Below are 21,292 nucleotides of genomic sequence, written 5' to 3'. Positions count from 1 at the left end.
AGTTTCACTCTTGTTGCCCAGGCTGGAGTGCAATGGTGTGATCTTGGCTCACTGCAATCTTCACCTCCCGGGTTCAAGCGATTCTCCTGCCTCAGCCTCCCAAGTAGCTGGGATTACACTACCACACCCAGCTAATTTTGTATTCTTAGTAGAGACGGGGTTTCACCATGTTGGTCAGGCTGTTCTTGAACTCTTGACCTCAAGTGACCGACACACCCACCTCGGCCTCGTGCTGGGATTACAGGCAGGAGCCACCGCGCCCAGCCTCTTTCCTATGTCTTGTGAAAAACTGACCTCTCCCACATTATCCACACGTCTCTGTATTTGGATTCCTTTACCTCTAGGTCACTTGTTCACATACAGAATTATTACCTGCAGTATACATGCATTTATGCACAATATACATGACAACAATGCCTAAATATTTAAATGATAATAACAAAAGGAGTTCAGTCTATTTGATGAGAAAGAAATAGTAACTATACTAAAAACACAGAAGCTACAATGAAACTTTGGAGAGGATACAATTCCTAAACTGTCCTGGGCATGGTCAGACCAACAGAATCCATGGACATAACAATATTGTTTATGCCCCTGTTTCAGGATAATTTATTACATAGCAATATGTAACCAATCAGATCTGAATGTCAAGTAGCTGCCAGAAAAAAACATCAAGCTTATGAAAAACAGAATATATCAAGTCCTGTCTAACCAAACCGCCCCTCTCCCAGTCAAGTTAGCACTCAACTGCCCTTACAATCATATTGCTGAGGGAACGAAGAACACTTCAATGAAAGCACTGCAACAGGTCATTCACTGATGGTAGGTACCATTCTTGAGATTAAAAACAAAGACGATAAAATGTTCCTTCTTGGAACTATCATCTCCTGACAAGGAAAAAGAAGAAACACTGTAAGGTGAGATATATACCACTCTAATGAAACAGCTAAGGCGGCAGGTTAAGTGAATGCTCATGTTGAACTTTATTACAGGTTATGTTAACATTTAGAAACACTTCCCATTATCAATCCTATAGCAAAGTCAACTTACAACCTCAGTAATGACTTTAATAGTTTACAGTATCAGCATCTTTCTGTGGTTTCCATGAACTTCACCCTTTATCAAAGAACTGTATGTGAAAACATTTTGTGAAAACTGTACATTTATGAAAACACACATATTGTCAATTTTATAATTTCTAGTAATTAGATGCCTGGTCATTTCTTTTATTAGTTATATTGTCGTGTTTGACCATAGATAAGTAAACTAATTAAAGGTACTCTCATCTGTGTGTGCGCGCGCACCTGTGGCAGGCCAGGTCCCTCTAATGGAGGCCTCCATAACAACTGTTTCAGTATTGACGGAGTGGTTAAGTTAAATACTAAAAGCTGAAAGAGCCATTTTGTTATACAAAGGTTGGAATGTCACAAAAGCCCACCAAGTTTTACCTAGGCCTCTCTTGAACCTTAAAGCACGATTAAACAAGTTTTATTAGGGGTCTGAAGAAACTCTCCAGGCCTCCACAAACAAGTTTATTGGGGGTTCTAAAGGAACTCCCCAAACCTCCATGATTTAGTAGGAAACAAGATAATGGTAATCACCTCAGCACCCAGACCCATTTAAATTAATGTAAATTTACTGAGGCTCCAAAGGAAGGTCTCGAAGACTCAGACCTTAGTTATAGATCACTTATGTCTTTAGATACACACTTACATGTACACATATAGCTTAGAAGGTATATAAGTTCTGAAAAACTTTGTAATTTTGAGTTGGTGTGGTGACAATTTCCAGGCCTTCTTCCTGTAACTAGCTCTAACTCTTCCTCCCCTGTTCATCTGCATCTCATTATTGGGGCACGAGAAATAGCAGCCCGACCCTCAGTTTGGTCTGGGAACCAAACTATACCTTCACTTCGATAAAATATATTTTAAAGACTAACTCATTTGATAATTCCAAGGTGGCCAAGAAATACACCTGTACCAGTATTATTTTCCTGAGCTTAGGCAAAACCTCACCAATACCTCACCCCCAAATAGCACCAGAACCTTCTTACCTATGTTTGCAGTTAACTTGTAAATTAAGGGACTCCATGAGAAAGGGATGTTCCTGATGATTCCATTTGCAGGTCAGCTGCAAATCAATTTTTCACTCATCCTGATTGCCTAAGAAAAACAGTATCCAATACAGAAACATTTAGATACAAATCAGGCACCTGAACATACCCATTAGGATAATTTTAGGCTAGCCAGGCATAGTGAATAGAGAAAATCAAGTTCAACCAGCAACCATTTCACTTTCTCACCAACTTTAAACCACACCTTTTAGAAAGATGCAGAGAATATTTAAAATTTCCCCTGCTAATTTTGAATGATCTATAAATCCCCAAAGGCCTACTTTAAACCCATCAGAGACTCAACCACTTTAAAAGGAAAGAAGCAATCTGTTTTCAGTTTATACCAAATTAATGAAGGATAACTTCCAACTTATCCCAAGAGACACCTCCTCTAACATCTTGATCTAGTCAGTACCCACAAATACAGCATCGCCAGTATTAAAATGTACTCTCCTTATAGAATGAATGTTTCAGTTACTATTTTCTTTCACTCATCTGTTTCTCAAACGAAATTTCACTGTTTGACACCTACCTCAAATTCCATCCTCTGCTTCTTTCCTTAGGTAATCCAATACTCTGTTTCATGGTAGTCGCTGCATTAATGTCTAAAGCACATGCTCTTTGTGAGATCAATCAAAAACCATTCATAATGGCTGTTGGGAATAAGAAGTTGAATACAACAGCCCATTGTTCCTAGGATGTTGAATGTCAAGGATGAAGACAGGCACAAAGTGGTTGTCTCTAAAATTTCCTGTTGTTTAAATGTTCATTTTGAAATAGCTTTTGAAAATTTCAGATACAGAAAGTAGAAGTAGTCGTTCTATTCTCCTTTCACTATACAGGACTGTTAAAAGTCTGTCATGTCCTTCCAAAGAATTTTCATGTGAATCATATTCTTCCTAGATTTTTGTCATGTAGCAATATACAAATATGTACTTATCAATCTTTTGATTTTAACTCATGTGTTACAATTTCAAACAGTATATTATATCACCATTATCACCACGCTGAAGTATTAAATGTCAGAATGACAAGCCCCACGTATAATTCATATTTTTAGACTTAACTATTAATATTTTAGTTAGAAAAACTTGAGACATATGCACAGACACCTGTAAACAACTACTTGTTCACTGAAAAATGATATAAAATATCAATTTAGGACTACAAAACATATTCCATATAGAAATTTTTTACTGTTAGAATTACATTCATGTTAAAGAAGCTATCATCATTGCAATCTTTGATTTATTGACAGATACCTCAGATAGTTATGATTTTACAGCCAACCTATATTTGGTAAATTTTCGAGAACTGGAATAGATAAAAACCCCAGTAGCCAGCTATAACATTTCAAAACTTTTACATAGTATCAATTTGATTGTCATTGCCAAACTGCTGCTTAAAAAGACACACAATTTATACTTTTGATCAATACTGGATAGAATCTTTATAAAAATTTTCCTAATTTACACCGTAAGTAAACTTGAAATCTATCTGATTATCACATATCTGATAGTTTTTAAAAGTTATCAAAAAGTAAAAAATATTCATAACCACAGTTTTTCTATACTCATATAAATATGGAAAGAGGTTAGAAAAGAAAATGTTTACAGACCTGCTTATTATTTAACGAAAAATCAGCATACATTTAGATGTAACAGTAAGTGGAATTCTAGAAATATCTGCAAGCTTAGAAATAAAACACTAGTTCCACAATTTTTTTAATTTTTTTTTTTATACAGAGTTTTGCTCTTGTTGCCTAGGGTGGAGTGCAATGGTGCAATCTCGGCTCACTGCAACCTCCACCTCCAGGGTTCAAGCAATTCTCCTGTCTCAGCCTCCCGAGTAGCTGGGATTACAGGCATCTACCACCATGCCCAGCTAATTTTTGTAGTTTTAGTAGAGACGGGGGGGTTCACCATGTTGGCCAGGCTGGTCTCGAACTCCTGACCCTCAGGTGATCCACCCGCCTCAGCCTCCCAAAGTGCTGGGATTACAGGCATGAGCCACCATGCCCAGCCACTGGTTCCACAATTTTTTAAATGAAAATAAAACACAAATCAGTACACGAATGAAAGATTAATACCCCTGAGATAGATCTATGCCACTAAATTTAGACATGCATGTGAATATATACTTATGATATACATGAATATGCATTTAAATAAATTTGCAAAGAGTACAAATAACAAAAGAACAATTATTTAAATAATCTTCTAACACTCAATATATCTATCTAATTTACAATGACCATTCCCTTCTCCTGTCTTCCTCTATCTTTCTAAGGATAAAATATCCAGGGGGTTTTGTTTGTTTCATATTAGTATAAGATGCACAAAAACCCCACAATGGTTATTTTTCTTATACAAGAGACCTGAATGTTTAAAAGATATGGAGGCAATCTATTGCTCTGTCTCAAAACATACAAACACCAAAACGTTACAGTCAGTCCCAAGAGGCCAATTATTGATTACCTATTGTACTACTGAACACTTGAAGGAGTCAATTTATGATATTTTACAATGAAATATTTACAAATTTATACTTTGCTGAGACTTCATGCATCTAGCAAACCTAGAGCTTTAGAAAATGTCATTTTTATCTGTTATTCAAAGTGTTTTTTGAATGTTGCCATGCAGTCCAAGTAAATACAAAACTGTGTAATTCAGAGGTAGAAGAAATATTTCCTTATAAAAGACATTTCCTACAATGACTATAGAAGTATATTTATATAATGCCCTATCAACAATGTAACTAAAAAATTAAGACTGAAGTTTTCAATATATAACAGAAGCACTAAACAATGGTTAAAATATATTTTCTTTCTGATTACAATTCAAAGTTGAAAATACATTCTTTCAACTTTTTCCTTACACTAAACAACCCAATAAAGAGATACCAAAATATGTATAGGTCAAGAAGCCCAAAATTTTATCAAGTTCTTTGCCAAGACATTTGCAAAACACAATGAAACCATGAAATTTTACAATGACTTATTTACAAAATTATACTTTGTGAGACTCTATACATCTAGAAAGACTAGATGTTAAAAATTAAAATTTTTTATCTATTATTTACAAAGTTGTCTTGAATATTGTCATGCAACCAAGGGAACACATACAGAATATTGTATAGTTCCTAGAGGTAGTAGAAAATCTCTTTAATGAAGTCATTTATATCTTGAATATTAACAGGAAATAAAAATTATGATATCAAGAAGTGTATCTGGAAAGACTAAATGCATTTACATGACATTTAATCTAAGTTTTTTAAAAAAAGCAATTCATATCTGATATAATGGTAAGCTATATAATAACAGGTAAAATGTAGAGAGTCTCTTTTCATTTCCTCCTTCTAATATCCAAATTAAAACACGATAAATTTTGTTTAGCTCCAAGAGCCTGTGTATCAATAATCAATTTCATTGCCACATTAATTGCAAAAGACAACAGTACTAACAAATTTACAACAAGATACTTAAAAAATCTACTTCGTGAGACTCTCTATACATCTAGAAATACTAGATGTTCAAAATTAAATATTTCATTTGCTGATTATTTACTAAATTGTCTTGGTTACTGTCATGCCACAAATGAACACAGAACCATATAATTTAAAGATTCTATAGTATATGCTTAAGAATGAATTGCATCATGAACCTCAGTACATCAAAGAAAATAAGATATACCTTTTTTTTTTTGAGAGGGAGTCTCACTCTGTCGCCCAGGCTGGAGTGCAGTGGCGCGATCTTGGCTCACTGCAACTTCTGCCTCCTGGGTTCAAGCTATTCTTCTGCCTCAGACTGCCGAGTAGCTGGGATTACAGATGTGCACTACCACGGCCGGCTAGTTTTTGTATTTTTAGTAGAGACGGGGTTTCACCATATTGGCCAGGCTGGTTTCGAACTCCTGACCTCGTGATCTGGCCCCTTCGGCCTCCCAAAGTGCTGGGATTACAGGCGTGAGCCTCCGCACCCGGCCAAGATATACCATTCAATGTAGAGATTATTCTTACATGAAACTGACCCAAACAATTTAATAAAAATTAATTTTTACTTTTAAATCAAAATGTGGGGGAGGGAACCACTCTCCCTCTCTAACATGACAGCATATATACATTTAATATATAAGCTTAAATATGTGCAAGTAATTTGTCTTTTACAATCCCAGCAACACAATGAAGACTAAGCAAAGGGGAAAGAACAATCTATCAACAAAAGAAAAATGTCTCTATCCTCTTTATCAACAAACTACATATTTACAAAGTTGAAATGTTATAGAACAACTATGATAAACACAGATATTTAATAGTAAACCCAAGAAAGCCACCCACACAGAGCTCTTAAAATCATTTGCAGGGTTAAGCATAGTTTAACAAAGTGATGCTTGCAATATATGCACGTCCACACTGTCTATAAAACAAAAAAAAAGCTAAAGAGGATTGTACAGTTGTCTAGTGATATCCATCGGGGATTTGTACCTGTACCGTACCCCCATACCAAAATCGGTGCATCCTCAACTCCCTTAGCTCTTCAGAACCCATGGTTATGAAAATGAGGTGCTCTTTACTCGGGTTTCAGATTCTGCCAATGCTGTACTTTCCAGCTGCATGTGCTTGCAGATGCAAAACCCGCAGATAGGAGGGTTGACATGACAACTGTACGTCACAGAGATGAAATGACAAAGTATTCAACATCCTTCTCCAAGTGCTTCCCAACAAACAAGTGAATCAAGAAGCTAATGCCTATATTAATAAAAATACTCTGATTTTTACATACATATGTATCAGCAATGTCTACATATTAATATATAACGAATAGGTATTTTAAAGATATAACCTGACTGTACACACAGCAATCTAAAAATCCCACTCTACCACACAGGTTTGGTATGCCATTTCACTTCAACAAACATAAAAAGCTTCTGCCCTATAGTTTTAAGTAAAATATATCCACCAAATACAACAAATTTCTGCACATCTGTAAAGGTAGATGACATATTATACATGGACACAACTAACAATCAAATAAACCTCTACATACACACCAAATTTTTTTTAAAAATAAAGGTTAACACTTCTATTAGCAAAAGATTGTTTTCACCATATTTTAACATTCATATATTCTGTATGTTCATATATGTGCATGGTGGGTGTTTCTACATACCTAGGAAATTCAGATGTTATTCAAGACGCTTATCTATTATTCATACAGCAGTTAAATGGTCTCCAGCTCTATCCAGGCACCCAACAGCCCAATAAACACAGGAAGGGACAAGCCACCGATTAGGTTGGAATAAGAAAAAATAATACAAAAATGTACATTTTTATATAAAAATTGTTTAGACAAAGACAATCTCATTTTTTAGAACTCCAGAACCCAAAACAAAACCAAGAAAACCCTCAAAATCAAACCTCACAAGCACACAAAGATGCTAACTCTATTGGCAACAATGATTCTACTTTTGAATAAAAATATATTTCCAAAAATATGACAGAAATTGTATATTAAAATATTTTTGTAATATTTATCTTCTAGATACAATTATATATTCTGCATCAACCAAATAAATCCCATTTAAACATGGCATAGCAATTCTACTGATCAAACTAAAGTGTTTATGCCCTTGTCTAGTGGTTTACTGGTCACAATATACGCCTATTAGTAATCTGTATGCAGATGCTAAAAAGCAAAAGGTAACATTTTTCTACTATACATTTAGCAGCCATACAGTATCTCTGGCAACTTAAGAATATTTCTATCCTATGACAATAAATGTTGTTTATACAGTGATATGTATTTATATATAAACCTGCATACACACAAATATACGTGTTGGCAATTCCTACAAATCAAAGACTAAACAATTAAAGCAAAACAATTATATATTGTGACTGTCTTATACACATGTAACAAAATTCCCCTTCAGCTGCTCATTTACACACACAAATAATCTGCCTATGTGAGGGAGGAAACAAAAGCTTTCACTACATATGTATGTATTTATCTATCTATCTATATAGATAGATATATAGATATGTGTTTACGTGTGTGTATATATATTTAGAACCATGCAGACATAATAGCTCCTATGCTTTAAAAAACATATAACCATGTATATTGTATACACATAAGGGTTCCATTATCACCCAATGATCTAATGAACTCAGGTTTCACATCCCATTGCTAGTATCCCCATAAAAACTTATAAAATGCCTCTACAGATAGAAACATTTTAAATCAAAAACAACTCACTATTATGAAAGTCACATATTTTTGGCAAATGAGAACTTTTCTAACCTATGCTATTTGACTCATGTGGCAATTTTTCTGTTGTATAAAAAACTGCATATACACATCTGAAAACTATAAACAAAGGCAGACCGACATTTATGATGACATTTCCACCATGTTGCATCTATCAGAAAAACAGTCACATATATATTTATAGAGATATACAGTATTATACTACAAATTGTAAGAACATTTCTATTATATCTACCACAACCTAAAAATTAAGCCCAATGATCCAGTGAACAGTTTGCTTTTTGCAAGCAAAACTGGTTCTATCCCCTATGAATTAAAAATGACATCTATACATTTAGAAAAATAGATGTTAAAAATATTTAGCATATCCACCAGCAATCAATTAATGTTTAGGGGCAATTTAATGAATTAATGTTCTGAGAGGTGATTTAACACTCCCACTAGCAAAAGGAAAGTAGTCTACCTGTTTACAATGTAATGTTAACATATAGGTAAGACCACCACCACCATCTTCACGTGGATTTAGGTCTGGAGGCCCTGCAACATATGCTCATGTGCACACAGGGCTCCAACACCCCACCCTCTTATCTCCTAAATCCACATCTAATATTTGCCTAATACTAACAAAGCCATCTAAGAGTCTAAACACTCCTATCAGTAACCAATGACATCATTGTGTAACAATTTAATGTCCCCCAAAATGCAAAATGTCAGCCATCTCTATGCTGGTTAAGATTCAGTAACACAATCCTGTCGGTTATATACACAAAGTAATACAAATCCCACCCAACCCTTAACATGTAAGTGTTCTAGAGGCTGGCCTTTTTGGCAATTCCATCATGAAAAGAAAATCTTACACCACGTAAATTTTAACAGAAAGACCACTGACAAAATAACATCCACATCCATGACTTTCATACATAAAGCAGCATTAATAAAACTTCTTAGTTAGAAGTTGTATACATTAAGTTCCCCCAGAAAAACATCCATAGCAATATAAACCAAAATAAAAGGATTTTTAATATACATCAGAGGTACTTTAACAATTATATTTCTAAAATCATTTCTTAAAATGTTTCTACATACTTCAGCAAACTAATTGTTAGCAATATCTATGTACCAAGAAAATGTCATAAAACAATTATTTAGAAACTTCAAACACTGTATCCTCAAATGCACATAAACAAAATGCCTTTTTTTCTAATTAACGCTTCCCATGTCATTTTCTATTACCCTTATGCACTCAAAAAGTGAATACAGAATTGTGTATATCTTTAAAAGGTGACCTGAGAATTCCTTTCTAACAACTGTTCCAGAATAAAATTCTAGCAAATAGAAGCTTCCCCAGGAAACCAGTTATTTAGCCACAGCAACTACATTAACAAGCTTAACAGATTCATGTTCAAAATCTAAGTGTTTGCTTTTAACTAATTACATTCCAAGATTATGCAAAAAAATACAACTATTACACATTTAATTTCACTGTCTGGCTTACCTAAGGCACAATGAACAATTCATACACATTTATCATTCAATGTGTATCTTACATTCTCATTTCAATACTATTATCTAAACATAATTTTCCCACATATTTAAACAAACTCGTAAGCTAAATGTCCACGAAAAAAAGTTTATATTATTTGAATATTTGGAGCTCTTTCACAATGCTAGCAGGAGTTGGGGAATGATGTCCTTATTGCATGTGCACACAAGTATATCATGTGCAGGGCTTTTACTGGTAAATCTTCCAAAGGCGAGTGGACTCTCCATAGCAAGAAAAAAAATATTATTGGTTGATGAAGTTCAGGCAAGTATCAATCTATCTTTCTTTCTTCCAAGGTTTTCTAGCTGATGAGGCATGTAGCTGAATTCAACATGTTATCCTTCCCCTTCTATCCATATATTCCTGCAGGGTTGGCTTGTCAACTTGAGTTTGTACAGACTACCCAAAATATTTCAAGTTTTATATATTTGAAATGTTTCTCAATTCAGTAGATAATTCTTTATGCACCTGCCACGCTGTGACTCAGACGGCATTCTGGGGATGAATCCGGATTGAGAGTTGCTGTTCTGATGTTGTAAGGAGCACACAAATAGAGTAGATCTGGACTATGGCTCTACAGAGGACCCTGGCCAAAGACCCTTTAAGGCAGACATCTCCAAGGGGGGTTAGACTTCCACCGCAATCTAGAAATAAAAATGCTCCAGAAGAATCTGTAAACTACAGTTTTCTCCATGCTGGGGTGGTCACTCAGACTACTCACTCCTGTTGATGTATTTCAGTGAAAAAATGGTTCATAAATCTACCCTAAATCATATGTTGCAATCAGTGTTTGTTGCTGCAAAAATTTCTGAAAATTTTTAAGGATGAGAGGATTAGAGTGAGGGAATGCCACAAAATATACAAATCCAAATGTTTGGTGTCCACAAGTGGGTGGTTTCCAGTGTTTATTGTGGCAAAAGATGTTCTAAATATTATAAACGTATGCAATCGTTGTCCTCTTCCTTGATTATTGCTCATTTCTAAAACTCTTGAAACATGACAACTGCTTATTTATTAAGAAAACCTGAGAAGGTTTGTCTTGTTTTCCCCAAATCAGCTCTGCCAGATAGATGAACTAAAGAACCTGAGGTTAGCAGCAAGGGGAACAGTTGAAAGTATGTGAATACAGTTAAGATGACAGAGCCCTCACAGGGAAGAGTAACTTCAAATCAGTTCTCTAATGGGGTGAACAGTATCTTTTGTACAGTAAGTTTCTAAAGGAAATAATCCTGGTCCATCTTTTTTAAGCTGCAATTTAGCCCATGAATGAAAGCTGTTTCCTTGCTCCTTAGCTGGCATTTCCTTTATACGTCTCTTCAGAATTGACAGTCGAATGTATCACAGTGATCTTAAAAAGATGTTTCTGAATGTAAATGAGTTTGAAATATTTCACAAATTTACTTTCTGCTTATTTTCTTGTTCAATTATCTGTTCATGATTTGTCCATTTTCAGAACAATTTTTCAAGCCTTTTTGTTCACAGAGTTGTAGATCATATTTATGTACACTACAGGAATCAACAGAGTAAATAACCAATATATTTTGCCAACCCAAATATAATAGATGCATTTACATTTATTTTTATGTTGTGAACTACTCTTAACACACCAACAAGTACACCCTCTTATCCTCTCCAACAGCAATGACCTCTTGATTTCCAACAGGTTTGCTCAAAGGACAAGTTCACGTGAACACATGCTTTTTTTTTTTTAACCTGGAATATTTATTCTCCAGTGAGCTAGCCTGAAGCAGGTGGAGGCATCCAATAAAATACAACCTTAAGGAACTACCTTTTCTATTTTTAACAAACCCCGAGTCAGAAATCTGGCAATATCTTAGGAACCTCTCTACTTGATGAAACAGACAACTTTAATTTAAAGCAAGACAGTATGTCCCAATTCCCTACTCTCAGCTATGTGGTACAATGAAATGCCCTTGTTCTTGACCTAAACCCTAAAAAAGAATGGAGGAAAAAAAATCAGGGTGAAACTGACGGCCATACTTTGCCTGTACTCTACTAGAGGGCAAATTTGTTATACTTTCTTCATTCATATATTGACTCTACCAATGACTGTGGTAACAACATACCAATGAAGCAAAAATTGGCTATCCATCAAACACATACTAGATGTTAATTATTACACTAGGCCTTGAAGACAAAGCAGTAAAAAGTACAGTCAAGGCATCTGATAAACCGTTAATGTTTCTTTCTCCCTATAAGGGAAAAATATCAAAAAAGTCAGTCTATTTAGCCTTTTGGAACCATATTTCCAAATTCTGCTATGTACTCATCTTGGACAAATGAAAAGCATTATTTCAGTAAGTCAAAGCTTTTAAAGAAGGTATCATCATTGTGACTTAAAACAATTTCTAAAGGATGGATTTTTTGGGTTTTGTTGCTACCTTGACATCATTGCCGAAGGCTGTAATTCACTCAGTAGATAAAACACCCAGTCTACCTAAAATGTGAAGCCACGGTATCCAGCCATGCTCACTAGAGTTACACATTATACAATTGACATTAAAACAGAAAGTACAATGTCCCAAATTTGTTGCCACCCTCCAAAATAATTTCAATAATTCCTAGGCCATATACATTTTCAAATCCTCTGTAATTTCTTCTCATTTTATTCAGTCCAACCCAAAGAAGTCTGCTTGTTTGAAGTCTGGGTTTCTTGTTCAGTTGCTGTATCACAGAGAATGACTGATTTGATCTGAATATATCCATATTCTTCACCACTTCCAAACCTGGAGGAGTCTCAACTGAAGTGGCTAATTTTACAGTTTTTAAGTAAAAGAGAACAGCCTATTCCCAAAGAGAATCATCATTGGAAAACAGTACTAAATTTCAAGAAACAACTATAGCCACTGGAATGCCAACCTGTATGTTGAAATTTCCCAAACCCAACATATGTAAGTCCACCAGAAGCAGATGCTTAAAATCAAACAATAAATAAATAAAACAAGTTATAAAGAGTTCAGTAATTAACATTAAACACAAACAGGATTACCTTTCCTTCCTCCAAAAGGGTAGGTATTAGGCAGAAATTACCACACTATATTCATTGAGATCATACCTGCTCTTAAAATGTTATTTTTTTAATCTACTGTTTTCAGGAATTTTGTCTTCTTTTACCCAAAGTGAATTTATATGGACTGAATTTAGAAATGGCTGAATTTACTCAAATTTAATTTAATTTAGATTCAAATGAGTATAGTTGATTCACTGCTAGGAAAATTATCAAAAATAAGCTCGTTTCCTCATATCACGTAGATAATTTAAATTTATATTAGAAATGTATTATTTTAAGTGATATATGTCTGTATTTCCAGGAAATTATGAAGTGTTTACGTCCTCCCATGCATTTGAACACATTGGCTACAAATAGTCATTCCTATTAATAATAACCTTGCAAGAAAAAAATATATGGTATTCTACATTGATTTACATTATTACATAAGACAACTTTCAAGATTCCCTGGTCATGATCACATTTTAAAATATGCGATAACATGATGTATCATTGCTTTTTCCATATCAGTGTACATTAAAAGACATATAATAGCACTCTAAGTATGGTTCCTAGATCTGTAGCATCTAGAAACTTGATAAAAATCAACTTCTCATACTTATACCTAATAAGCCAGAAACACTAAGGTCAGGACCCAGTAAACTGTGTTTAAAAAGCCCTCAGGTGATTCTTATCCACACTAAATTTAAACAAATCACTGACTAACCAAGGCTATCTAGAAATACCATCCTTTATTCATTCTAATAATTTATCAAGAAAAGACATTTAATCAGCACACTTCGCTAATTAAAACAATCTCAGTGAAAGACAATATTACCTATTTATGGTCACCTCAAGAAAAGGTATAGAAGCTAACATGGGAAAGGTAGCTGACATTCTTTATCTGAAGTAAAACAGAAACTTACATGTTAAATGATAATTCTGACTCCTAACATACACCACCTATTGTTCCACAATTCAAACCATGCAAGTTTTCCTTATTTCCAACAAATGAAACAATCATAACATTACTCTCAATTTACCTGTCTCCCTTCATACAACTCAGGAACATGTTCCAACCACATTAAAATTTGCTTATTTGTTTTCCTCCTACTACTCATTAATGCAATTTGCCATCTTCTGCTAACTCATTCCTTCCACTACTCTCAGCAAATTACTTTGATCATGAATTAGCAAGGCTGGACCTCACGCTCCCTTTGCAGGAATGGAAAGTGTCATCCAATTCAAGAAATAATGATTCTCATCATTAAGCCAACCCTCCTCCTACCACTCCACCAAAACACACACACACACACACGTGCACACACGCACACACGTGCACACACGCACATACACGTGTCATCTCTTCCAGAGATTCTTATTTTCAGGGGATTTATTTTAAGTCATCTGTGAAGTATCACCCCACAAATGAGGTTGTTTGGATGGGCTGGGCCAGCAACTACCACTGCATTCTCTAAGTTGCACCAAACATCTGAAGGTAAAAGACCCCCTGTCAACACTACACCTCAACATATCTGGCACTAATTCCCTATTTTTCTCACTTAACTGCTTATTTCTAATCTAATTCAGTTAGTAGGAAAGGAAAAACTCATTTTTCTCAATTCATCCAACATATCGCTAACTGCCTGGATCAAGAACACTAAGAGAACCAAACAAATCTGAGAGGTTATAAATACACTAACATTTCTACCAGAAGAACAGAGACTCAAAGGCAAGAACTATAAAATAACTTATCTACCTCACTTTTAGAAGAATGTTCATTTCTCTGAACCCCAACAGCTTTTCACTATAAACCAGTCATTTGTCATGTGATCACAGTATCAACACCCACATCATTAATATGTACATATGTATACACAAACACATAACACATACAGAATTTATCAACTAAGATAACAACTAGAGAATAAGATCTTGCTATATTCAATGTTCATGGTATATTTAATATAGGCTTTTCTAAATTACCTTCTTATTCACCATTCCTCCTTCATAATAACGACTTATAGGCAAAGCAAAAGCACCTACTCATAGAATGTCAATCACAGATAATGAAAGACCCATCAATCATACAAGCAAAAAATAGAGTACAGAATAATGTGAGATTAGAGATGTGATTCAAAAATTGCATGGTGTTTAGCAAATCTTTTAATCTCCGTGGGGCTCAGCATCAAAAACTATATAATGCCAATTTCATCACCTTAACTGAATCTAAGAGTCAAAATTAAATCTCCACCTACGTCTTGTAAAGATACAGCAAAGGGTTAACTTAATTAAAAGTAGAATTAAATTAATCTCTGGAAATGTAACTTAAGCATTCTGCTAAATATATAAATTACGTCTCCTCTCAAACCAATGTCTCAGCCACAAACTAGCAATTTCTCAATTATATGCCAAATGGAGAAGCTGCCTCAGTGACAGAAACATGCTCATGAAACTTTCATATAGGGTTGGAACCGGGTGATGCAAGCAACAGGGTTAAAAAAAAAAAGAGCATAGGAGCTCCTAAGTACTTATTCTCTTGAAATGATCACTTGAAATGCATAGTAGAAATAAGCAAAGGTGTGGCTGGGTACGGTGGCTCACGCATGTAATCCCAGCACTTTGTGGGGCTGAGGCGGGTGGATCACTTAGAGACCAACCTGGCAAACATGGCAAAGCCTGTCTCCACAAAAGCATACAAAAATTAGCCGGGCATGTTGGCACATGCTTGTAATCCCAGCTACTCTGGAGGCTGAGACAAGAAGTGCTTGAATGCAAGAGGCGGAGGTTGCGGTGAGCCAAGATCATGCCAAAGATGAGACATACCAATGCAGTGAACATAGAACACACTCTACAAAACATTAACTGTACTAAAGGATCTAGAACCAACTTCCTTGTATTGCACTGGAAAAACCTACAACACGCCATTATCCTTAACCTGTACTGATAGGAAAAACCATGTGAAATTTAGAGTCTAAGAATTTATGTTTTGAGTATTTGTATCCTGAGTCCTTAGACTGACAGTAAGGCTGGACTTCAGAGTAATCACGTTGAGCTTTACTTCATCATGCTCAGTAAACACAGCTCATCACAAATCCAGCCCAGGTCTTTCCCAATGTCTTTCCCATCAACTAGTAAAAATACGTAAAAAAATAAATTCCTGCAGATAGTGTATCTCTACCCATAAGGACAGTCCCTGGCCTGGAAGAATAAATGATAAGAGTTTTATGTGACAATGGATATAAAACAACAGTAACAACAACAGTGTCATTCAAAGCACACAGAATTAAGGGGAATTATGAAGAAAAAGACACACACAGCAATCTACATGAAGGAAACAAACGCGGGCGCGCATACACACACACACACACACACACACACACACACACACACAGAGAGAGAGAGAGAGAGAGAGAGAGACAGCAATCTGCCAGTCGGGTCTCACAGAGCTAAATACAATGACTATTTCCACTAGCAAACTGTCCAAAGAACTGAAACAGAAATACACTAATGCCACCACAGATACTATCGACAACTTGCTATTCTCCCCAATAATTAAATGTAAACCAATTTTAGGACTAGAGTACACTGAAAACATGCATCAAAAAATTCTAGAGTTAAGTGTAAACAAATGGTATAGAAAGACAGAGGACAGACAAATAAAATCAAGGCTGGCACAACGTAAGAAACACAAAGTCCAAAGAAAGGATTCTGAAGGAGGTCTAAACTACTAACTTCTCTGACAAGAAACCAAAGTAGCACAGTAATGCAATCCAGATTTTCTCATGAGAACCCACACTATTATTCCTGATACATATCTCCGAAACATGAAATCATAGATTTCAGGAACTGTATCATTTCAACTCAATTTTTGCTACCAAAGAACAAATGATGTAACATAAAATGAAAATATCTATACAAACAAAACATCCAAAAGACAGGAAACAGCCCGAACAATTCAGATGTACAACCTAACCCTCAAGGTCACTGTATTCTCATTAGTTCAACAGAAAATGATTCACATTAACTAAACATCAAGTTCAAATGTGAGCCTCCTTCTTGATTCTTGGGCACTTAGTATGGACCTCGCTTTTTAAGTTGAATCGGCTCAGCAAAGCAAATTAACCCAGCCAAGTTTTTCCTACTAATCATTTCTACACTGTACTAGTTCTTAAAACTCATGGGCAAGCAGGCATTGTGAAAAAGGATTCCAGTGACCCACACAGATGATACTGAAAGTGGAAGAGCTAGAAGAACTGTTTCTCCATGTCTGCAACCCCCTTCTTATTGTACAACCACCTGATCCCTTTATCAACATATACTTCTACAACATTCCCCACCTCTTTACTTTATATTGGCTTAATAAATACATCCTTTGAACTTTATATCTCATTTTTTTCTTTTTTTTTCCAGACGGAGTCTCACTCTGTCACCCAGGCTGGAGTGCAGTGGCATGGTCTCGGCTCACTGCAACCTTTGCCGCCCAGGTTCAAGTGATTCTCCTGCCTCAGCCTCCTGAGTAGCTGGGATTACAGACACACACCACCAAGCTTGGGTAATTTTTGTATCTTTGAGACAGGGTATTGCTATGTTGGCCAGGCTAGTCTCAAACTCCTGATGTCAGGTGATCCACCCAACTCAGCCTCCCAAAGTGCTGGGATTACAGGCTTGAGCCACCATACCTGGTCTCAAATATTTCTATTGAATTAAATGTTCCCCATCTCACCATGCAAGAGAGGACTTCTCACTCCTGTAAACTCAAATAGCAGTTGCTGATTTCTATTTTTTTTTTTTACCTTGAGATGGGAGTCTCACCTCTGTCACTCAAGCTGAATGGAGTGCCATTGGCGCGATCTCGGCTCACTGCAACCTCCGCCTCCCGGGTTCAAGCAATTCTCCTGCCTTAGCCTCCTGCGTAGTTGGGATTACAGGTGCCTGCCACCACGCCAGGCTAATTTTTGTATTTTTAGTAGAGGTAGGGTTTCGCCATGTTGGCCAGGCTGGGCTCGAACTCCTGACCTCAGGTGATCCACCCGCCTCAACCTCCCAAAGTGCCGGGATTACAGGCATTTTAACAACAACCAAATAACCCCAAAACCATACCCAAAAATACACTGTAAATATCATCGCAAGGTAGTAAACAAGTGCTGGTAAACACTAAGTAACTCAAATGACCTCTATCTGGGAATGGCTGACTACACGGTATAAACGTATGGAGTCAGATATCAGATAGGCCTAGATTCTGATGAGATATTGTCATAAGGAAGTAACTATAAAATACCTAAAAACTTGTTTTCTAACATAAAAAAAATTAGTACCTGGCACAGTGGCTCACACCTACAATACCAGCTGAGGCAAGAGGATGGCATGAGGCCAGGAGTTCAAGACCAGTCTAAGCAACATAGTGAGATCCCAACTCTAAAAAAATTAGAAAACTAAAATTAGCCAGGCATGTTGACACGCGACTGTAGTCCCAGCTACTCTGGAGGATAAGGTGAAAGGATCGTTTGAGCTCAGGTGTTCAAGGCTGCAGTGAGTTATGTTAATGCCACTGAACTCCAGCCTGGACTGTGAGATACTGTCTCACTATACAAAAATTAGCAATGCTGCCTCATTCATTCACTTAATATTTCTTAAACATCTATTGTGTGATAGGCTCTGTACAAGTTAATCAACTGCACACAGCTGAAGAAAAAAGAAAAAAAAGCAACTGTCCTAAAAAACCAACAGTATTCATTTAAAGGCAGGTACTATACTCACTGTGTTCCATAATATATGCTCCATAAATATTATTCCTCCTCCTTCCTGGACATCACTTAGAACCCTAGAACTCTGGCACTTTTTTTTTTTAATCCGAGAGGTGGTCGTCTCATTTTTACACATCCTTGTTTCCATCTCACCAAATGCCTCTGCCTTCCGTGATCCAAGGATAAGTTTCCTTTTAGCTTTCGACAACGTACAACATGTAGAAAAAAAAAGGAACTCAGAATATCTATACAAATAAAAAAGGGTATCTGAGCAACTAGCAAAGTGCAATACTACACCTGCCATTTTTAAGTATTCAAAGTTTTCAAAACATTTTCTGCAGAAAATCTTGAAATCGAAAAGTCTAGTGAGGCACACTGACTGGATTTCAGAGTGTCATTTTTAAGCTCAAATTTTGAAATCATTATGTTCAGACAAGGTCCTGTGTCATCATGAACCTAGCCAAGGCCTCTGCAATATATGCTTATTTCTCTTTATAAGGTTATTTTACCTGAGCAGTTTACGTTTCTGTCCTAAAAGCACTTAATATGATTTTCAGCCTCGTTGTGACACTACTGAGTAGGATCCACACTGACGACACATCAAATTTTAGCGATCTGATTCTCTCTTCCTTTCAGAGGCATCAACTAAGTGGTCAAAAAATGGTATCGTATGACACTGAAAAAGTTACAACACAAATATCCTATTTCAGGCTCAGATGTCATTCTCCCACTACAAAAATCCCATGAAAATATACCTTGCTTTATTATATACTAAGCATTATTATGTGTATGGACAAGATGAAGAGAACTGAAATGCAATTATAAGACAGAATCAAGCAATGTATTAACTACCGGAAAACATGCATTTAAAAACTTCAACCCATGGCGGGGTGCGGTGGCTCACACCTGTAATCCCAGCACTTCGGGAGGCTGAGTTGGGCGGATCACCTGAGGTCAGGAGTTTGAGACCAACCTGGCCAACATGGTGAAACCCTGTCTCTACCAAAAATACAAAAATTAGCCAGGTGTGGTGGCCCACACCTGTAATCCCAGCTACTCAGGAGGCTGAGGCAGGAGAATCGCTTCAGCCCGGAAGGCAGAGGCTAAAGTGAGCCAAGATCACACCACTGTACTCCAGCTTGCGCAACAGAGTGAGACTCTGTCTCAAATAAATAAATAAATAAATCAAAACTTCAATCCATGGATTATAACTGACTACCTGCTGAAATCAGTGAAGGTAGTATCAGAGGTAAACATACCAGGTAAAGGGTGTTTTTGCTAATCTTTGAAATGAGATCATGAAAATCCTAGTCAAGCAGCACTATTTCACATAATTATCTATGTAAATCAGTTTCTACTTGTAATATTCTATTACAAGAATCTATAAAAAGCAAAATACCGGTATGTTAATAACAAACTTCTGAAATTTGACATCATAATTAAGGAATAATGAGTTCACAAAAGCAGGGAGCTCCCTAAGCAACTTTCAAAATCTTTTTAATTCCAAGCCAAGTTTACCTATCATATAAAAAGAGAATACCTCAAATACTTCATAACCTATTTTAAGGTAGCATAATTTTTATCCCAAAATTCTATTTGAAATTATTCTATAAGCTACAATGAAAGCATGTCAAACATGATATGCAACATGGATATATTTAAGGAGCCGGTTAATAAAATGTGTATCAGGAAATCAGAAAGTTGTTGACCAACCATGTTTTAGATGAGACATGTATGTATTTTCTTTTTTTTTTTTTTTTCTTTTTTTTTGAGACAGAGTTTTACTCTGTCGCCCAGGCTGGAGTGCAGTGGCGCGATCTCGGCTCACTGCAAGCTCCACCAGGTTCACACCATTCTCCTGCCTCAGGCTCCCGAGTAGCTGGGACTACAGGTGCCTGCCACCACGCCCGGCTAATTTTTTGAATTTTTTGTAGAGACGAGGTTTCACCGTGTTAGCCAGGATGGTCTCGATCTTCTGACCTCGGGATCTGCCTGCCTCGGCCTCCCAAAGTGCTGGGATTACAGGCATGAGCCACCGCGCCCAGCCACGTGTATGTAGTTTAATGCAAGAATGTAGGATGATTTTTAAGTAACATCAAGCATTAACTACCAAGAATGTTTTAAGACTGATATGTTGATGTGTGTCCCTAGTGGAAACACACAGAAGCTTAGACTAGCATTCCATAACAAAAGATTCACCACACTCAATTATACTATCTATATCCCAAGTTTTCTCCTATTATATCATCACAATCAGGATTCTCAAAAAGTCCAGGAAGCTCCAGACAAAAGAAAATGTATTATCACCAAGCAAAATAACTACAAGAAGCAAGCATCTTGCAGAATCTAGAGCTCTTATAACTTACCTTTAACTCATGTAACAGGCCATATTTAATTAAAAAGGTCCTGAAAACAGGTTTTCTTCAAATAGGCTGCATAATCACTCATGCCAAAATCTAAGGGCCATCCATACCAGCAAACCAATGCAAGGAGAAATGCTTCCCCTTCAAAAACAAACAAAGAAAAAAGTATAATTAGAAGTAGTTCCAGAGCAGTATGGGAAGAAATCACAGGTCTCTCTACATACTACCCCACGGTTTGTAGAGGAAAA

The 21,292-nt window shown here is 36.2% G+C and overlaps 3 long non-coding RNA genes and 3 other non-coding genes across 6 annotated transcripts in view; all 6 read right to left on the bottom strand.

Moving 5' to 3' along the window:
• SNHG14 (small nucleolar RNA host gene 14) overlaps positions 1-21,292 on the bottom strand; it is a 595,855-nt gene that overhangs the window by 418,331 nt on the left and 156,232 nt on the right. Inside the window, exons 14-18 of the long non-coding RNA NR_146177.1 lie at positions 21,048-21,185; positions 18,695-19,357; positions 2,646-2,766; positions 2,054-2,162; positions 758-887 (exon numbers count right to left, since the gene is read on the bottom strand). This is a non-coding gene — a long non-coding RNA (small nucleolar RNA host gene 14). The remainder of the gene's footprint in view (positions 1-757; positions 888-2,053; positions 2,163-2,645; positions 2,767-18,694; positions 19,358-21,047; positions 21,186-21,292) is intronic.
• Positions 12,900-16,272, bottom strand: PWAR5 (Prader Willi/Angelman region RNA 5). Its single transcript, NR_022008.1, has one exon. It is a non-coding gene; the product is annotated as a Prader Willi/Angelman region RNA 5 (long non-coding RNA).
• SNORD108 (small nucleolar RNA, C/D box 108) lies at positions 14,139-14,207 on the bottom strand. The gene has a single exon (NR_001292.2). It is a non-coding gene; the product is annotated as a small nucleolar RNA, C/D box 108 (small nucleolar RNA).
• SNORD64 (small nucleolar RNA, C/D box 64) lies at positions 15,966-16,032 on the bottom strand. Its single transcript, NR_001294.1, has one exon. It is a non-coding gene; the product is annotated as a small nucleolar RNA, C/D box 64 (small nucleolar RNA).
• PWARSN (Prader Willi/Angelman region RNA, SNRPN neighbor) lies at positions 17,342-19,138 on the bottom strand. Its single transcript, NR_022011.1, has one exon. It is a non-coding gene; the product is annotated as a Prader Willi/Angelman region RNA, SNRPN neighbor (long non-coding RNA).
• SNORD107 (small nucleolar RNA, C/D box 107) lies at positions 19,064-19,138 on the bottom strand. The gene has a single exon (NR_001293.1). It is a non-coding gene; the product is annotated as a small nucleolar RNA, C/D box 107 (small nucleolar RNA).

Source organism: Homo sapiens, chromosome 15 (genome assembly GCF_000001405.40).
Source record: "Homo sapiens chromosome 15, GRCh38.p14 Primary Assembly".
Lineage (NCBI taxonomy): Eukaryota > Metazoa > Chordata > Mammalia > Primates > Hominidae > Homo > Homo sapiens.
The sequence above is the reverse complement of the archived record's forward strand: the minus strand, read 5'-3'. Positions and strand labels throughout refer to the sequence as shown.